Source organism: Homo sapiens, chromosome 10 (assembly GCF_000001405.40).
Source record: "Homo sapiens chromosome 10, GRCh38.p14 Primary Assembly".
Classification (NCBI taxonomy): Eukaryota; Metazoa; Chordata; class Mammalia; order Primates; family Hominidae; genus Homo; species Homo sapiens.
The window spans coordinates 114,837,318-114,857,155 of record NC_000010.11 but is presented as its reverse complement, the minus strand read 5'-3'; the positions used below and the strand labels follow the sequence as shown (position 1 = coordinate 114,857,155).

General features: G+C 38.2%; 1 protein-coding gene across 2 annotated transcripts in view; it reads right to left on the bottom strand.

Annotated features, from left to right (window-relative positions):
- The window catches only part of FHIP2A (FHF complex subunit HOOK interacting protein 2A), a 78,053-nt gene that overhangs the window by 42,677 nt on the left and 15,538 nt on the right, over positions 1-19,838 (bottom strand). For both annotated transcript variants that reach the window (NM_001135051.2, NM_020940.4), the window contains exons 6-14: positions 13,930-14,223; positions 13,219-13,415; positions 11,675-11,789; positions 11,067-11,143; positions 10,789-10,981; positions 10,428-10,597; positions 9,923-10,066; positions 8,419-8,509; positions 1,816-1,959 (exon numbers count right to left, since the gene is read on the bottom strand). In NM_001135051.2, the coding sequence (NP_001128523.1) occupies positions 1,816-1,959; positions 8,419-8,509; positions 9,923-10,066; positions 10,428-10,597; positions 10,789-10,981; positions 11,067-11,143; positions 11,675-11,789; positions 13,219-13,415; positions 13,930-14,223 (1,425 nt within the window). The remainder of the gene's footprint in view (positions 1-1,815; positions 1,960-8,418; positions 8,510-9,922; positions 10,067-10,427; positions 10,598-10,788; positions 10,982-11,066; positions 11,144-11,674; positions 11,790-13,218; positions 13,416-13,929; positions 14,224-19,838) is intronic.

Sequence of the window (19,838 nt, the reverse complement as noted above, 5' to 3'; positions counted from 1 at the left end):
AAAGGCTTTGAAAATCAAGGGTTTTTTTTTTGTTTGTGTTTTAATTTTGTTTTAGAGACGGGGTCTCACTATGTTGCCTAGGCTAGTGTGCAGTGGCTATCCTTAGGCACAATCATAGCGCCCTACAGCCTTGAACTCCTGGGGTCAAGCAATCCTCCTGCCTCAGACTCCTGAGTAGCTGGGACTACAGTTGCACCCGGCTCAAGAGTTTTAAAGATAAAAGGTTTCAGACGGGGCTCCATAGCTTACCAGCTGTAAGTCACATAACTGAAACCAAAGATTCCTCATTTGTAAAATAATACTAGAAATCTCTCTTGCCTATGATACACGGTTACAGGAAGAATGACTGAAACAGTCTATGAATCAGCGCTGTGCTATGAAGTGCTATCTGGTGAAATTGAAAAGTATTTTAAGTATTTCAGATATTCTGTTTTCAATGTATCCTTTTGTGCCAGCACTCCACAAACTAGAGAAAAAGTGCTCAAGGTTGAAGATTCAGGGTAGATCTTTCAATTCAGAAACTACTTTTTAAAATTTAGATTCCTTTTTAGTACTTTCGGTCAAAATTCCTAAACATTACTGTCTTGATACTCATTGTTATTACCTCTTGCTTGTTAGCTTAATCAAGCAACAAGCTTGATTTAAACTACGCCTAGCAAACTGGCTCAAAAACAAAAACAAAAAACAAACCACAATAAACTGATGCATCCTGGCTACCCAGGAGGTTTACACAGCCATGAGGTGAGGCCACAATACCTATTAATAGCCAGATTTTTATACTTTGGTTGTCAGGTTTAAAACGACCAACCAAGCAACACTAGAAATACAGCGAATGCTATTAAGAGGTTAAAAAAGAAAAAAAAAAGGACCTGGTCTCTTATAGAGATTACCGTCAGAAACAACGCTGACTAAACTCTAACATAGTGAAATACTTCTTAGATTACAATTTCTTTATTTGACTTTCTAGTTACTGAAGACAGCCTACTTAGTAAATTTCTTTTACAACTCCCTATGCTCACATAAATATTTAACTAAAATGCTAAAAAAAGAACACGTACTTTAACATACAGTTGAAAATTAATTCCAAATTGGTCCACTCAGTTTCCACACTGAGGAAAGTACTATGCTAGTTGTGTTCTTTCAGGTTTAGATTCTAATGAGTCAAGCATTTCAAAGCTCTCTCATCACTAAGCTTATGAGCCAATGAGAGATGGAAGGAGGGATTCCATAATCCCAAATTTATTTCTCCTAACAGTCAGATGAGATGTACATAGCAACTTATCAGCTGATGGTGATTTTTATCCACCTTTAAAGGAGTACATTAACCTTTTCTATTTCACCTCTCCCTTATGAAAATGAGTATCGTTTACAAGCTTTGTCTAAAGAGCCAGGTTCATCTAACACTATTCTGTGATTTTACTGAGACCAGTGTTCAAGATTCAATCTGAAATGACATTTAAGGTCTTCCAAATTGAGCATCTGTATTTGTACTAAATGTACTAACTAAAAGGCTAAGCAAGTCATAAAAGAAAAGCAGTCCTAATCATCTCCAAAATGTGTTAAGGATATTAAGACAATGGCCTATCATGAGAAGTAAAATAAACAAGCAGCTGTCAGGCCAAATAAATGTTTTTAACATACAGAATGCATCAGAAATCTGCCAGTTGTTGGCAATCAAGCTTCATGAAAAAGTCATCCAGTGGAAAAAGTAAGAAAACAATAAAAGTACTTTATTGAAGATCTACTAAGACTTGAGATGATTCTGTGGTGAATGGCAAAAAAAAATATGAAAATTAGTATTTTAAAATGTATTACCTGATCAAGAATTCTTCCCATTCTGTCGAACAGCACTTTCAAAAAATGACCTTCAAAGAAAGCAGCTTCTAAATTGCACTTTTCCAATGCTTTTGGAGACCCAGGCCACTCCCATCTTAAGCAGATAGCACAGTAGTCTCGGAACTAGGGGGAAAAAAGCATGTGAATCATTAAAGAACAAAAACAAATTAAGATGAAATAGAAATGATTTCATTAAATAGGCATATAAAAAACCATTTGAATGCAGAATGTCTGCTATGCTTCAGGTGCCAAGGGAGAGGGGGAAGAGATGACTCAGATCTTTCTGTGACTAGGGGCACAGGTAAGATTATATTAACTGCTGCTACCAATATAAGCTGATGAAAAAGAGACATATTTTAACTTTACTAAAATACCCCTAACAGCTCTTTCCTTTAAAGGAATTTAACTCTTTAGTTACTTTCATCACCGATTTAGAGGACATTTAAAAAGCAAAGTCAGACCTAGCCAAGTTTTCAAATTTATTCTAAAATGGTATATACCACAGATGAACTGATACATGTTATTTGAGAAGACAAGCCTGCCATTCCTAGAATGGATGCAAACTAGCACACTAGGCATGATGTTATGATAGGATCAAACAGTGCTACTCAAAGGTGGTCCATCGACCAGTGCTGGTCCTCAAAGTGTTCACTACCGTCCACAATGAGATGAGGACAAAAAGCAAGAGCAAGCACTTAAAAACGTTCCTAACAATTTGACTATGAAGAGTTTTATGTCTGTTGAATCTAACTATGAAATAATCAGGGTTTGTATTTTGTGTCTTTTTTTCTCTTCATTTTTCTACAATAGGAATTCTTTTTTTTTTTGAGATGGAGTTTTGCTCTTGTTGCCCAGGATGGAGTGCAATGGCACAATCTCGGCTCACCACAACCTCCGCCTCCCAGGTTCAAGCGATTCTCCTGCCTCAGCCTCCCAAGTAGCTGGAATTACAGGCATGTGCCACCACGCCTGGTTAATTTTGTATTTTTAGTAGAGATGGGGTTTCTCCGTGTTGGTCAGGCTGGTCTCGAATTCCTGACCTCACGTGATCTGCCTGCTTTGGCCTCCCAAAGTGCTGGGATTACAGGCATGAGCCACCACACCTGGCCAGGAATTCATTTTTATTGCATTTTACAAAAGTGTTGGTCTGTGACAGATTGGAAATAAAAAAAAAAAAAAAAACCCTGGTCTTTCACTACAGATAGTTATCAGTGAAACAGTGTGAATATTTATAAGCACAAGATTATTTCATATAATAAAAATGAATTTTAAAAGTCTCCCCCAATATGTAATTTACTTGAATTGAAACAAAAGAAATTTAAAGCACTGTTTTCTTCTATATTCCTTCCCTCTTCAGATTCTCCTTATTTAATAAAGCAAAATTACTTTGACTTCTCTAGTTTAGAAATTACCTGAAATTAAAACAGAAAATGGTCGGGTGCAGTGGCATGAGCCACCAGGTCCAGCTAATTTTTGTATTTTTAGTAGAGATGGGGTTTCACCATGTTGGCCAGGCTGGTCTCCAGCTCCTGACCTCAAGTGATCTGCCCGCCTCGGCCTCCCAAAGTGCTAGGATTACAGGCATGAGCCACCGCGCCTGGCCCAAATCTCAATTTTTAAGAAATCATTTTTACATTAACACTTCTTATATTCTGACTTATAATTTCTTATAGCTTTTGGTTTTTCTAATATTTCTGAAACAATTGTAACTGCATTTGTAATCACAAAATGGAAATGAAACTTTACAGAAAGAATAAAAGCAGTTTAAAAATCCAATCGGTACTGCCAAAAGATATATTTTACTTTTATTGTCTTTACTTTATTGTTATTTGAATGTTACTTGCTACTCCATTAATTTATTCATGTATTAATGCAGACAAATTCATGTACTAATGTGGACTTAAAGTATTATGAATTAACTATGTGCATATGCAGATTAGTTATATATAATAGGATACTTCAATACAAAGAATTTAAATACAAATTAAATGTACATTTTTCAGATTTGAGAATTTTTAAAATTTAGACTATGTAAATTTTAAAATTCTCTTTCAAATTTTGAAATATTTTATTCTGGTTATTTATTCAACAAATACTAAATAGTTACTGATATTGTAAAATGTATAAAGCTCTAAGCTACATATTTTGAGGGATTTAATGGTAAATCAAGCATGAATCCTATCCTCAAGAGACTGACTATTACCTTATAACCCCAAGGCAAGAAAGAAAACACAAAGGACCACAAAAGATTAGAGACAATGCCATGAGCATGAAGACGAGTAGTTACCTTTACTGTTGGGAAGGGAGAGGAGGAAGAGGGTAAAAAGAATAAATCACGAGCTGGCATTTAATCTGGATGTTGAAGACAGTGTAGAAATATAGATATCAGATGGTGGGTGAGAAATAAGAGGAGAACCTTGTAGGCAAACAGAATAGCATCAATAAATGCACGTAAATGTTATATTTGGATAGCAAGTGAAAGTCATAGTAAGAAATATAGAAAAGCAGGCTGGAAAATTGATCCGAAAGGATCTTGAATTCTAAGATTTGATGTCTAAGTATTTATACTTTATGAGTTAATAAAGAAGGGGTTCTCAGATCCACACTTCAATGAGATTAATCTGTTAATGGCTTCTAAGCAGAAGGAACAAGCTGAGGAAACAAGTTATGAGGCTACTGTAATCTGGCAGAGGTAATAAAGATGTAAACTAGGATTCTGAAAGCAAAAAGCAAAAATGGAGAAGGGGCAGACAGGAGAGATATAGTAGGGGCAAAACTGATACAACTTGGCAATACACTAGAGGCTAAGGAGAATAGAAGATGAATGAATCCCAGGCAACTCTGAAATACAAACCTTGAATGACCAGGAGGATGGATATGCCACTGACCACAGCAGGAAACAAAGGAGCAGATGCAGTTTTAAAGGCATCAATCATAAGTTCTGCTTTGGAAAGATAAAGTCTGAGGTCTTAGAAGAACACCTAAGTGGCTGAGGCTAGAGCTTTGGGGACACCTCAGATAGAGAATTCATGACAGAATGAATGTTAAACCAAAAGAATATCAAAGGAATGAAGATAGAAAAGAGGGCCATTGATAGATATTTTTGGTTTTTTGGCCACATCATAATATGGTGGACAGAGTAAAAATGACACCTGACACCTAAAAGCAGCAGCAGCAAAGAATGATGCTGCAGAAGCCTTAAGAAAGGAGAAAGTTTGAAATGGCAGGGCTGGGGTGGGGGGTGGGAGGTGGTTTAAACGAGTTCAGCGAAGTTACAGGATAGACGCTCAATACACAAAACCAGCAGTATTTCTACATTTGGAAAGAACAATCAGAAAATGAAGTTCACAAAATAATTTCACTTACAATAAAGAATAAAATACTTAGGAATAGATTTAATGAAGGAAGTGCAAGACTTGTACACTGAAAACTATGAAATTCTGTTGAATAACACTAAAAAGAACCTGAGTAAATGGAAAAACATCCGGTGTTCATGAATTGGAAAACTTAATATTGTTAGGATGGCTGTACTTCTCCAATCAATCTACAAATTCAATGTAAGCCTTACAAAAATTTCAATTGCTTTTTTTTTTTTTTTTTTTTTTGCAGAAATGGACAAAGTAATCCTAAAATTCATATGGAATTACAAGGGACTCCAAATAGCCAAAACAATTTTGAGAAAGAAGCAAGTTGAAGGATTCATATTTCTCAATTTCAAAACTTACTGCAAAGCTGCAGTAACCGAGACAGGGTGGTGCTGGGATAAGGACAGGTACATAGGTCAGTGGAATAGAATTGAGAGTCCTCAAATAAACTTTACACTTAAAGTCAATACACGGAAAATACCCTTTTCACTAAGTGCTGCAGAGACAACTGGATGTCTACATGTAAAAAAAATGAATCTGGACCCCACCTCACACTATATACAATAATTAACTCAAAACAGATTAAAGACCTAAATGGATAAACTAAAACTATGAAACTCTTAGAAAGAGACTTAGGTGAAAATCTATGTAATCTTGGTTAGGCAATGATTTCTTAGGTACGGCACAAAAAGCATGAAGAAAAAATAGTTAAGTTGCACTTTATCAAAATTAAAAACTTTTGGCCAGGTGCAGTGGCTCATAACTGTAATCCCAGCACTTTGAGAGGCCAAGGTGGGCAGATCACTTGAGGCCAGGAGTTCAAGATCAGCCTAGGCAACAGGGTGAAACTCCATCTCTACTAAAAATACAAAAATTAGTTTGGCATGGTGGCACAAGCCTGTAATCCCAGCTACTCGGGAGGCTGAGGCAGGAGGATTGCTTGAACCCAGGAGGCGGAGGTTGCAGTGAGCCGAGATCATGCCACTGCATTCCCGCCTGGATGACAGAGCGCGACTCTGTCTCCAAACAACAACAACAAACAAACAAACAAAAAAACAAAATTAAGAACTTTTGTGTGTTGAAGGACACTATCAAGAAAGTGAAAAGGCAACTCCCAGATGGGAGAAAATGTTTGTAAATAATGTATCTGATAAGGATCTACTATGCAGAATATGTAAGGGACTCTTACAACTCAACAATAAAAAGACAAATAGCCCAATTAAAACACAGGCAAAGGAATTTTTTTTATTTTTTGGAGACAGGGTCTTGCTCTGTTGCCCAGGCTGGAGTGCAGTGTCACCATCATAGCTCACTGTAGCCTTAAACTTCTGAGCTCAAGCAGTCCTCCTGCCTCAGCTTCCCCAATAGCTGGAACTACAGGTGCATGCCACCACACACGGATAATTTTTTTAAAAAATTTTTGTAAAAATGGGATTGTGAAGCCTGGTCTCAAATTTCTGGCTTCAAGTGATCCTTCCACCTTGGCCTCCCAAAGTGCTGGGGTTACAGGTGTGAGACACCACACTTGGCCGGGATTTAAATATTCTTCAGAGAAGAGTACAAGTATCTGCTAAGCATATGAAAAGGTACTCAACATCATTAGTCATAAGGAAATGTAAATCAAAACCACTAGGAGACACCACTTCACACCTCCTGGGGTAGCTAAAATTTAAAAAGAATAATGGTAAGTATTGGCAAGGAAATGGTGAACTTGGAACCCTTATACACTGCTGGTGTGATGTAAAATGGTGCCACCACTGTGAAAAACAGTTTGGCAGTTCCTCAAAAAAGTTAAATATAGAATTACCACGTGACCCATCAATTTTACTACTAAGCATATACCCAAGAAAACGGAAAACCCGTATTCAACAAAAAAGGAATATTCACAGCATAAGTATTCATAATAATCAACAATTAGAAACAACCCAAATGTCCATTAACTGACAGATACACAAAATATCCGTACAATAAAATATTATTCAGCCATAAAGAAAAGGAAGTACTGATGCATGCTTCAACTTGAATGAAACTTGAAAACATGACCTTACACTGAGTAAAAAATGCCAGACAGAAAAGGTCACATATAGTATGATTCCATTTTTGTGAAATGTCAAGAAAAGGCAAAGTCATAGAGACAAAAAGTAGATGAGCGGCTGCCAGGGCTGGGGGTTGGCGGGGAGGAGAAGTCAATATGAAGTGACTGCTTTATTTGTACCGGGTTTCTTTCTGGGGTGATAGCAATCTTCTGGCATTAGATAGTGATGATGGTTGCATAACATTGTGAATATACTAAAAAACATTAAATTGTACACTTTAAAATAGTTAAAACGTTGAATTTTATCTCAATACAAGTTTTCTTTGCAGGAGGAATTTTTAATACAATTTTTAAAATCTTACGATGTAAAATGCTATAAAGAGGAAAGAAGAATGAGAAAAGTCTCCTTAATTTAGAAGCAAACCTTTGAGCAAGTCGTTTGAGTGAGGTAGAAAGGTGAAATTCCGGGGCTGAAGGAGTGAGAGCTGGGCAGCAGAGGGACTATACTTGTGAATCACTGTCTGCATCAGAATGAAGGAGAAAAGGATAATGGCTTGTGTATGAGGATCAAGGGTGCATGGTGGGTAGAATTATTAAGGTATCATGTTTTGGATCAGTAGGAGAAATGGATCCGGGTGAGATATAATTTAAAGTGGGAAAAAATTAAAGAGCACAAAGAAATCTTGAGATGGAGACACACAATCGGTGAAGTGCAAACTAAAGTCACTTGCACAAAGCAAAAGTAGTTATAGCAGAGACCAGGTCTTTTTTTTTTTTTTTTTTTTTTTTTTTGAGATGGAGTCTTGCTCTCTTGCCCAGGCACGATCTTGGCTCACTGCAACCTCCACCTCCCAGGTTCAAGCGATTCTCCTGCCTCAGCCTCCTGAGTAGCTGGGACTACAGGCGCCTGTCACCATGCCTGGCTAATTTTTGTATTTTAGTAGAGACGGGGTTTCACCATGTTGGCCAGGCTGGTCTCGAACTCCTGACCTCAAGTGATCCATCCGCTTCGGCCTCCCAAAGTGCTGGGATTACAGGTGTGAGACACTGCACCCGGCCCAGGTCTCATTTTTAATAAGAATGAAGTCATTTCCTTGGAGCAGTGGTGGTGGGCAGTGTGACAAGGGGTGTGCATGTGTCTATTCTTAGATTTCATTTCCAACATTTAGTGACTTCACCTACCTGCCTATGAGCGTCTCGGAGGTAAGTGTCATATCCTGTGCCCTCAACATGGTAGGAGGATTTTGCGTCATCCGGTACCAGACAGAGAAAACTTAAATGAAAACGGCCACAATTATGCAAGATGTCCATTTGCATGAAAAAAAAAAGGAAAAAGTAGAAGTGAAAAAGACCATAATCAATACTCTCATAATTCAATAATAACTTTATAAGTACTAAAGCATCTAGTGATATCGTAAGTTCAGCTAAGTATTAATACAAATGGAAACCCGAGAAATGAAATTATATGTTGTTAATTCCTGATAAGTTTTACAATTCATTGATTAAATATTCTCATTATTTTAAAGGTTTTAAAAATGACTAATTCCACTTAAAATAGAAGTAAGCCTAAGAAAGACATTTTTTTCCTCTTCAGATTGCTGTATAATGACAGACTGCCATGATATTTGTTAATCTCAGGAAACTGGTTTTAAGTAATTGAACTTGAGATTTTTATGTACCCTAATTTTGCATCTTGAGCCACATGCAATTTTTCTCTAAAATCACCTGCCAGAACCAGGTATATCAGTGACAACACTGCAAGGGAAGCAAAAGAGAGAAAAAAAATTGCCACAGAAAAGGGCACTTTTAAAAAAACATAAAACCACGAACTAACAAAAAGGAATAGCCCAACACTTAGCACACATGTTTAATAAGTACATCTTATCAAACCAGCAATTCTCAATGTTGTTACAATTGGGAATTACTTAAAATTAAACCATTTATATTTTTTAAAAATGGGATGACTCAGCATGGTGGCTCATGCCTGTAATCCCAGCACTCTGGGAGGTCAAGTCGTAGTAGCCATGCGACTGTAATCCCAGCTACTCAGGAGCCTGAGGCAGGAGAATCGCTTGAACCCGGGAGACGGAAGTTGCAGTGAGCAGGGATCATGCCACTGCACTCCAGCCTGGGCGACACAGTGAGACTCTGTCTCAAAAAAAAAAAAAAGGTGGGGGAGGGAACTTTGAGGGTTCATTTAACCACAGTTAATATTAAGTAGAGCTTTTCTCTTAGTATCAAGTGTTGCCCGCAGCCTGGCACTTGTTACATAAGCAAGACCAAAAAACTGACATAATCTTTAAAGAAGATCAAGTTCATAAGAGATTTCTGTAACCACCTAAGAGCAGAGCTCTTACATGTTATACACTTTGGGAGGCCGAGGCGGGCCGATCACTTGAGGTCAGGAGTTTGAGACCAGCCTAACCAACATGGTGAGACCCTGTCTCTACTGAAAATACAAAAATTAGCTGGGTGACGTGGCAGGAGCCTGTAATCCCAGCTACTTGGGAGGCTGGGGCAGGAGAATCGCTTAAACCCAGGAGGCGGAGGTTGCAGTGAGCAGAGATCGTGCCACTGCACTCCAGCGTGGGCAACAGAGCAAGACTCCATCTCAAAAAATAATAATACTAATAAACAAAAACAAAAAACAAGAGAGATGGAAGTCAAATTTTATATAGCAACTCACCTATTTACAATTTTATGAACTTCAGTTTTTCCATCATTTTTGGGGTGGTCTGGAGTAGCAGGAGGTGAAGAACTAAGCCACTCTTGGTTTGGCAAAGTGTTTTCTGGTGAAATGTCAGTAAATAATGGATCTTCTTCCAGATCTCTAAGTTAAATTTAATGACACATAAAAAGCACTATTTTATTATGACATTTTCTAAACCAAAAGATTCTCTGCTATGTTCTTAGAAAATGTTACATAATTTTGCTAATATAAAGGATTAAGGAATTATGTATATTTTCTAGGCAAATTAACATTCTATACTATTTTGTTATTGGGTCTAATGAATACACAATATTATTTGTAATGTAAAAGGATGGTAGTATCAATGCATCTAATTTTACTTTTAAGAACTTTTAAACTGTAAGAGGTATTTCTTTTGAGGATAAGGGAGGTAGATAAGAGGAGAGAGAAAGTTCTATCTCTACATGAAATGCTGAACTCACGGAGTTGGATGGAAACTTACACTGCTCCTGCTATCAATCCATTTTCTACCACATCTTTATCTTCTGGGCACAAAGGTTTATATTCTGTATAATTTCTTTCTTCAAGATTTCTCAAGACCAAGTTGTAAAGAATGTGCTCATTGGGTTTTTGTAAAAGATGTTCAAACATTCGTAATGTCATTATGCTTATCTGAAACCAAAATTGATAAAAGCTAACTGAAAAATGTCTTTACATAAGTTACTCTTCTTACCATCTTGTGAGTCATGCTTTCAATTTCTAAAGCCAATAAAAGAGGTTGTATTGAAAATATCTGAAGTATAATACATTAAAACCGTATTTCAAAGAATCTAAGTCCAATTCTAAATCATTACGTAGCTTACCTCATCAGATATGTGATCACAATGTTCAATTAACCTATGCCTTAAAGGATGTCTGCTGATTTCTGCCAGAGTTTCTGGTTCCCTCTGTTCTCCAAGGATAAAAAACACCATTTCTTGAAGCAAAACATCAGAGGTCACTTGCCGAACGATGCGATGAAGCAGAGCAGTGGATGTGAGAATACCCATCTCAGAACTGAGCACAATGAACAGGTAGTCAGTGGGCAAAAATAACATGACACAGTGATGCGGTTTTTTTCAAAAGAAAACAGGCTACTCACGTTTGCATTAATTGAGGTTCCATAACACCAATGAAAAATCTTTCATGAACAGCTTTGGCAAGAGCAACAGCAGCAGTCTAGAATATAGTAGGAACATCATTTTTTTTTTTAATATAAAAGAAAGACTAATTTGTAACATCAATAAATCAGTTTGGACTCCCAACTGAATTAATGTGGAAAGACAAAACTTGCCTAATGACCCTCTTATTGGTGGCATATAAATCTAGATTAGATGTTGGCTACTGGGTCATTTACACTTTTTTCTAAATTTCCAAGAATAAGAGGAATAGGATGAAAAATTATTCCAATGTCCATATAGTATTAACATCTCACCAAAGAGCAGGACTGAAGGGAAATCAGTGTTACTTTGTAAAGTACTGTACCATAATATTTAAGGAAATATAAAAGGGCAGAACTTGAACTTTGATTTATTCTGGAATTGTAATACACACATACAAACACATATACACTTTTTTGTTTACTTATTTTACTAACCATGGTATTCTAAGACAATTAAAATGTATTTGGGATATAAATTAGGGATTCCAATTTCACTTAATAGATATTTATATCTTAAAATGATCAAAAAACAATAAAAAATTACAAACCTTTTGGGCTTCCTTAATGAGCTGATCACAATAATCAAACCAGGAAAGAAATGAAATTAAGGCTCGTTTTCCTGGAAATGCTGAAGCATCTTCTTTATGACTATATGAGTCCAAGCTGTAAGACAAGGAAGAATTGCTAAGTCCAAAGTTATCCAAAAGCATGGACCCTATTCAGAATGTATGGAAAAATGAAGGCACATGAACACACTCAGATAGTATGGTACATTCACACAGGAAATGCTGGAGGACAGTGAGAAGAGGATTCTGTAAAAGAAACCAAAGATAAGAGAAAATCTTTTAAATAAGAGCTGTAAATAATTTTCACGTATTAAGTAGGAGAAGAGAGGTTAAAGCAGAATGGAACTGCAGGAGGCCAGGTGTGGTGGCTCATGCCTGTAATACCAGCACTTTGGGAGGCCAACGTGCGTGGGTGGGTGGATCACTTGAGGTCAGGAGTTCGAGACCAGCCTGGCCAATATGATGAAACTCTCTCTCTCTCTCTACTAAAAATACAAAAAAAAAAAAAAAAATTAGCTGGGCATGGTGGCTCATGCCTGTAATCCCAGCTACTTGGGAAGCTGAGGCACGGGAATCACTTGAACCTGGGAGACGGAGGTTGCGGTAAGCCAAGATTGCTTCACTGCACTCCAGCCTGGGCGACGGAGCAAGACTCCGTCTCAAAGAAAAAACAAACAAACAAAAAAACAGTGGAGCTGCAGGAGAAAAAACACTGGGATAGCTCCTCATACTCCTGCCCTAAATGTTACCAAGTAACATCAACGAAAAGATGGAGGTTCTCAGCTGCTGGGATGGAAGAAAAGAACGGTAAATGGGGATCTACAAACAGAAATAGCGAGTGGACTACTTCTCTTCCTGCCCTAAAATGCAATACAGTCATAATGTTAACAAGTGGGTCTGCCCTATAGATGTTGACAGAAAATAGAGTGGAAAAAAGAAAGACACGTTAAAAATACAGAGAAATACAATAAAAGGTGATTATGTCAAAACCTTAGGCTGCTTACAGGTGGTGGGACTATGGGCAACTTGTTTATGCTGCTTTATACTTTTTAATAATTTATAAACGTTCTGCAATAATCATATTTCCCTATGATAATCAAGTTGGGGAGTCTAAAAGGTAGGAAGAAGAGGTGAAAGAATGAGGTAGAAGAGATTCTGTACAAACAGGCCAGGAGACAGATTAGACTGCTCTAGAGGCTGTGGAAATTATTTTAAAAGGAGATTCCTTCTTTGAGGGTTTTTTGTTTTTAATAATCAGTTAAAATTATTGATTTTAATGTAAGCCCTTAAAAATTGATCAGTAAAATGGACAAAATAAAAATATCTTAACTATGTAACAGCTGGATTGTTCCCACACCAATTCATTACCACTGATTAATACAAGCTTCAAGAAAATATTCCCATTTAATGATCACTAGTGGTGTTCAATTTTTCAAAGACTTCTACCATTGCAAAATAGAAATGGATTTTAAAATGTAGGTGTTAAGAAGTCACCTTTATGGGAAAATACAAGTAACGGTGCTTACCCCCAGTTAATTGCTTCCACGGTTTCAATATCTAACGGATCCACTGACTGAGGTAGGGCCTTGTACAGGGAGGCAAGTCTGTCTGTCAGTAGTTCACACAAGCAAGTGCTCTGTGTAAGGCACTTTGCAGCCGCAGGCTCTGGCAAACTTACTAACAGCATCAAGCCTTCACATGCCTTCACAGCTATTCTGCCATCCTAAAGGAAAAAAAAATCCCCCTTCAATTCTTGAATTGTATATACATCAGGTTGTTTGAAAACATTCAACATAAAAGGATTTAATGTTTCACACTAAAAGAAAAATAGATTTTTGTCTATTTTAAATGCATATTATTGGCCAACTGTGGAGCTTCACACCTGTAATCCCAGCATTTTGGGAGGCCAAGGCGGGTGGATCAGCTGAGGTCAGGAGTTTGAGACCAGCCTGGTCAACATGGTGAAACCCCATCTCTACTAAAAATACAAAAATTAGCTGGCGTGGTGGCGTGCACCTGTAATCCCAGCTACTAGGGAGGCTGAGGCAGGAGAATCGCTTGAACCCAGAGGCGGAGGTTGCAGTGAGCCAAGATCGCACCACTGTACTCCAGCCTGGACAACACAGCAAGACTCCATCTCAAAAAAAAAAATAAATTAAAAATTAAAATTAAAAAAATAAATAAATACACATTATTGAAATAATGTTAGGGGGGAAAAAGTAAGGACCATAACTCACAGGACTTCTAGTAAGATTTAACAAAGAATTCACTAAATTGTAATCCTGATTTGGACAAACAACCGAGGCCTCTGGCAGTGAGGTGACACTGAGGTTATCCAAGCTTGTGGACAGGTGATCCATCTGATGAGGAGGCTCATCTTCCAATTCTGTTTGCTCCATTCCAGTAGCACCAGATAGTTCCTCTGGTTGACGGGACTGTCCTGTATCTGTTGACAAGGAATCCTGACCTTTTAATGTATCTTCTGAAATTACATTTGGTACTCCTTTGGAAGCCAATGATTTCATCTTATTCTGAAAAGGAATATATGTTTTATAAAATTCACATCAATAACTTTTTAAGCCAAAAATAATATTTTAATGGATTTTTCTATAACATTCCACATGCCTAGCCAAAGTAGCAATAGATGTTATGTCACATGAAAATATTCTGACTTTTAACAAACTGTGTTTTAGAATGATTTTACCATTGCATAGGAGTTTATCACACTCCTCATACTAACTACAAAATGTTTTACACTGACCATAAGCAATGAACAGTATTACTGATAATTTGACTACTGCTTAAAACAACTAATGTTAGTGAGGAAAAAAGTTTCAGGAGGTTTCAATTGCAGTTAACTTTTTTCTCATCACTGGACTACTGTAACTACATAGTCTCAATGTTAATTCTTATAAGATCATAGGGTGGGGGGGGTGGTTTGCAGGGAAGGAAGTACAAACTTACAAATAAAAATATTTTAAAGTTCAAAAGTTACCAGCATTAGACTGAAGGTTTCCACAAAAGCCCCCAAATTCTCTCAAATATATAAGCATCTTTTCTAAGTTTTTCCTTAAACCTCTACTCTATAAGAACGCAAGAAGCTGGGCACAGTGACCCATGCCTGTAATACCAGCACTTTGGGAGGCCGGGGCAGGAGGATCACTTGAGCCCAGGAATTCGAGACTAGATGGGGCAACATAGTGAGATCATGTCTCTACTAAAAAAATAAAATAAAATAAGCTGGGTGTGGTGGCTTGCACCTATGGTCCTAGGCCTTGGGAGGCTGAGTGAGGCAGGAATATTGCTTGAGCCTGGGAGGTTGAAGCTGTGGTGAGCTGTGATCATGCCACTGCACTCCAGCCTGGGCACAGAGCAAGACCCTGTCTCAAAAAAATTTAAAAAAAGAGAACCCAAGAAACTACTCAGGGGACATTTTTACCAGTGTCTTTAGGATAGAAATAAGATTTGCTTGAAATGCTGGTGCTCCCTCCCCCAATCCACATACCAAAACACAAAAAGACTCTTAACTGAAGCAAATTAGCAAATTGTTAGCTTCAAGGCAAAAGTATCTTGCTTTCCATTTGAACATAAGAGCAGAAATCAGATTACACAAGTAGGTTAAAATTCACCATAAACTAACTTCTCCCAGGGCCTATCATCATAGAAACATATTAAAGGCTGAATGAATTCAGGGTTCTACTTCCAAAGTTATATTATACTAATTATAAATCACTTTTATTGCTGTTAAAAGTATAGGTTAGACCAATCTTCTTGAGAAATTGAGTTCACAGAACATATTTATTAAAAGCAAACAACTCTATGGGACTCAATGAATACTCCAAACAATTTGCCAATTTCCAACAAAATCAATGGCATATTGGCCGGGTGCAGTGGCTCACATCCCAGCACTTTGAGAGGCTGAGGCAGGCGGATCACTTGAGGTCAGGAGTTCGAGACCAGCCTGGCCAACATGGTAAACCCTGTCTCTACTAAAAATACAAAAATTAGCTGGGCGTGGTGGCATGTGCCTGCAATCCCAGCTACCAGGGAGGCTGAGGCAGAATAATCACTTGAATCTGGGAGGCAGAGGTTGCAGTGAGCCGAGATCATGCCACTGCACTCCAGCCTGGGCAACAGAGCAAGACTCCACCTCAAAAAAAAAAAAAAAAAACCAATGGCATATCATACTCTTTATGAAAGTAAAACATTTCATTCAATTTAAAATACTAGTAATATTGTTGGGAGAGGCGTCTCAAATAAGAACAGCAAGAGGAAGGATGTTAGTATAGCACTCTGTCCTTCAATCAATGTTTCTCAAAGTAAGACTCAAGATTGTTGGTATCCTGGTCTTCTGTGGGGCTTGATAAAAATGCAGATTCCTGGGTCCCATCCGGACCTGTTGAATATCTGGAGGTGGAGCCAAGGAATGTGCATTTTAGAAAAATTTCCTAGGTGATGAGGAACTGTGGCTTTAACACTTTGGTTCCTACTAAAACTGTTCCCCTTCTGTTTTAGGGATCTCATCAGTACCCACAACATAGTCACACACATAGCTTCTAAATCTCTTAAACTTAAACTTCCCTCCCAAATCAAAGATTTGCAATACCGAATACCTGCTAATTATCTCCATCAGGAAATCATGATGACTCAAAGCATCCGGAACCAAAATTATCATCTTCCCCTCAAAATCAGCTCCCTTGGGGCCCCTGTTTTTCTACTAGCAGCAGCCTTATTGGTTCAGGAATTCCAGCATTCAAATCATCCTTTCCCAGCTTCTGCATCTGAGCAGTTACAAGGCCATATAGAGCCTACCTCTAGTCTGAAGTTACGCATTTCATTCCAACCCACTGCTTCCAACTTGGTCGTAGTCCTTGTTACTTCTTGCCTGGGTTACTCCATCAGTTTCCAAATTAGTTTCCCTGATTTTATCTCTCCTCTCAAAGAATCTGCCATATAAAAGGCTGCTGCCAATTTAACTTAAGGCACAGATACCATCACATAATAACATCCCTGCTCAAAAATAGTTAATGGCTCCCCAGTATCTACAAGTAAGAATAAACTCTTCACCTTGTCATTCAAAGCCTTTGACAATACTTAGTCTATCTGTTCAGGTGCTTCTTGCCACACATCTTAATTATACTGTTTCCTGAACACACCACAAACTTTTACATCTTCATTCCTTATGTTCACCCACTCTAAACATGTCAAGGCTCATTTGTCTGTATTTATTTATTTTTTATAGAGATGAGGTCTTGCTATGTTGCTCAGGCTGATCTCGAACTCCTGGGCTCAAGCAATCTGCTTGCCTCAGCCTCCCAAAGTGCTAGGATTACAGGTGTGAATCACCGCGCCCAGCCTCATTTCAAAGATGACCTCTTCCAGGAAGACTTTCTTGATGACCTAGAGCTGATGAATCTCTCCATCCTGTAAGTACTTAAGGAATTTACTTTGTATCTTTCCTTTGATTCTCACCTTACTCTACTTTAGATTACAGTATCTGAACATTCATTTACTGTCTTCACCAGACTGTAAACTCCTTTAGGACAAAGACTGTTTCTTTTCTTTTTTTTTTTTTTTTTTTTGAGACAGAGTCTCGCTCTGTCGCCCAGGCTGAAGTGCAGTGGCGTGATCTTGGCTTACTGCTACCTCTGCCTCCTGGGTTCAAGCAATTCTCCTGCCTCAGCCTCCTGAGTAGCTGGGACTATAGGCATGGGCCACCAAGCCCGACTGATTTTTTGTATTTTTAGTAGAGAAGGGGTTTCACTGTGTTAGCCAGGATGATCTTGATTGATCTCCTGACCTTATGATCTGCCCGCCTCAGCCTACCAAAGTGCTGGGATTACAGGCATGAGCCACCGCGCCCGGCCGGCAAAGACTGTTTCTAACTCATCTACCATATATATTTAACCAATAGTAGATGCAAATATTGGCTGACAGTAATGAATAGAGAAAGATGACATTTCAGGGAATACATGCTTGAGAACTGCAAAGCACTTTTGTTCTTATCTATACTTATAAGTAATAAAACTGCATTTCTGGCTGGCCATGGTGGCTAATGCCTATAATCCTGGCACTTTGGGAGGCTGAGGTGGGTGGATCACCTGAGGTTGGGAGTTTGAGACCAGCCTGGCCAACATGGTGAAACCCCATCTCTACTAAAAATACAAAAATTAGCCGGGCGTGGTGGTGCGCACCTGTAATCCCAGCTACTTGGGAGGCTGAAGCATGAGAATCGTTTGAACTGGGAGGCAGAGGCTGCAGTGAGCCGAGATTGCACCACTGCACTACGGCCTGGGTGACACAGTCAGACTATCTCAAAAAAAAAGGAAAAACAAAAACAAAACGCTGCGTCTCCCTAAAGATTCATTCATTTAGTGTTAACTGAGCAGTTCCTATGCATTATGCTAGATTCTAGAGAAGCTGTGGGGACCCAAGATTAATGAGACAGAATCCTTGTCCTCAAGGAACATACTGACTAGCAGGAGAAAATAAAATGCACTTAAATAACCAGTGCTGGGGGACTGTAGTAACTGACATTAAACACATATGAATAGTCCTATTCGTTAAAAAAATGCAGACACCTACCACCTCAGGCTTTGGAGAAATATGTCATAAAAACACTGCACAAAGCAGATGTGTCACTAATTCTGAGGGGTGTTCTCTGTAGTGAGGTTTAAATGTAAATGTTTTTCCGAAGACAGGTACATACAGTGTACCTCACCATGAACATACATAAGCCTACATATTTCGTCTGCTTCTGATCTATGCTATGCACTTAGAAAACAAGTTTCAGAAATTTTTGAGAAAGAAATTCTCCAGGCTTAAGTTTGGGGAAAAAAATACATGCATTCCAAGTACACTAAGGTTATCTAAGAAAGCTTTAGCAAAAATGAACCTTGAGAAGAAAAATCTCAGCAAAACTGAGATATTTCTCATAAGTACACAAACAACTAAAAAAAAAATTCTAATATCATTATAAATCTTTAGAAATCCAAAATCATAAGACTGTTCCAGCCCTTTTGAAGCAAATTTGCAAAAGATGATACAAAATATAACGCACATCACGAACAACACACGATGCGCATGATGAGTGTTAAGGGCATGCGTAGTCCTTACCACCACCTAGAAATTTAAATTCATGAAATTTTACAGCTTAACTGCTTACCTAATTCGAGTTAAGAGTCCAGAATAGAATCCTAATTTACTTAGTAATGTAAAATAGAAAACAAACCCATCTATTGGAGTGGTTAACATTTAAAAATAACAAAACAAACAAAGACCTAACAACATCCAGTGCTGACGACAACACGGAGCAACAGGAGCTCACGTACACTGTTGATGGGATGCAAAATGACAAAGCCACTTGGGAAACAGTTTGGCGGTTTCTTATGAAAATAAATACACACTTACCATATGATCTGGTGATCCTACCCTAGGTATTTATCCAAGTGACATGAAAACCTAAATCCACGCAAAAATCTGTGTGTGATGTTCTTAGTGGTTTCATTAACAATTGTAAAAAACTAGAAACAACCCAGAAGTCCCTCACTGGTGTATGGATAAACAACTGTGGTACATCCATACAATGGTATAGTACTCAACAACATAAAGGAACAAAATCATGGATGAATCTCAAATGCAATAAGCTAATTTTAAAAGCCAGAATCAAAAGGCTAATTACATTGCTATGACTTTTTGGGAAAGAGAAAACTATTGGGATGGAAAATAGATCAGTGACTGCTAGGGCGTAGGGGTGGAGAAGGGATGACTACAGAGGATCATGGGGTAGTGTGACAGAGCTGTTGCACATCTTGATTGTGGTGGTAACACAACTGTGTTCATCAAGCTCACAGAATGCAGACTGAAACGAGTGAATTCTATTGTATGTAACTTATATCTTAATCCAAAAAAAGAAAAAGAAAAATTTATTTATGTATTTTGTATTATTTGAGACGGAGTCTCACACTGTTGCCCAGGCTGGAGTGCAGTGTTGCAATCTTGGCTCACTGCAACCTCCACCTCCCGGGTTCAAGGGATTCTCCTGCCTCAGCCTCTCAAATAAGTGGGATTCCAGGCGTGCACTACCACACCCAGCTAAGGTTTGTATTTTTAGCAGAGACGGGGTTTCACGATGTTGGTCAGGCTG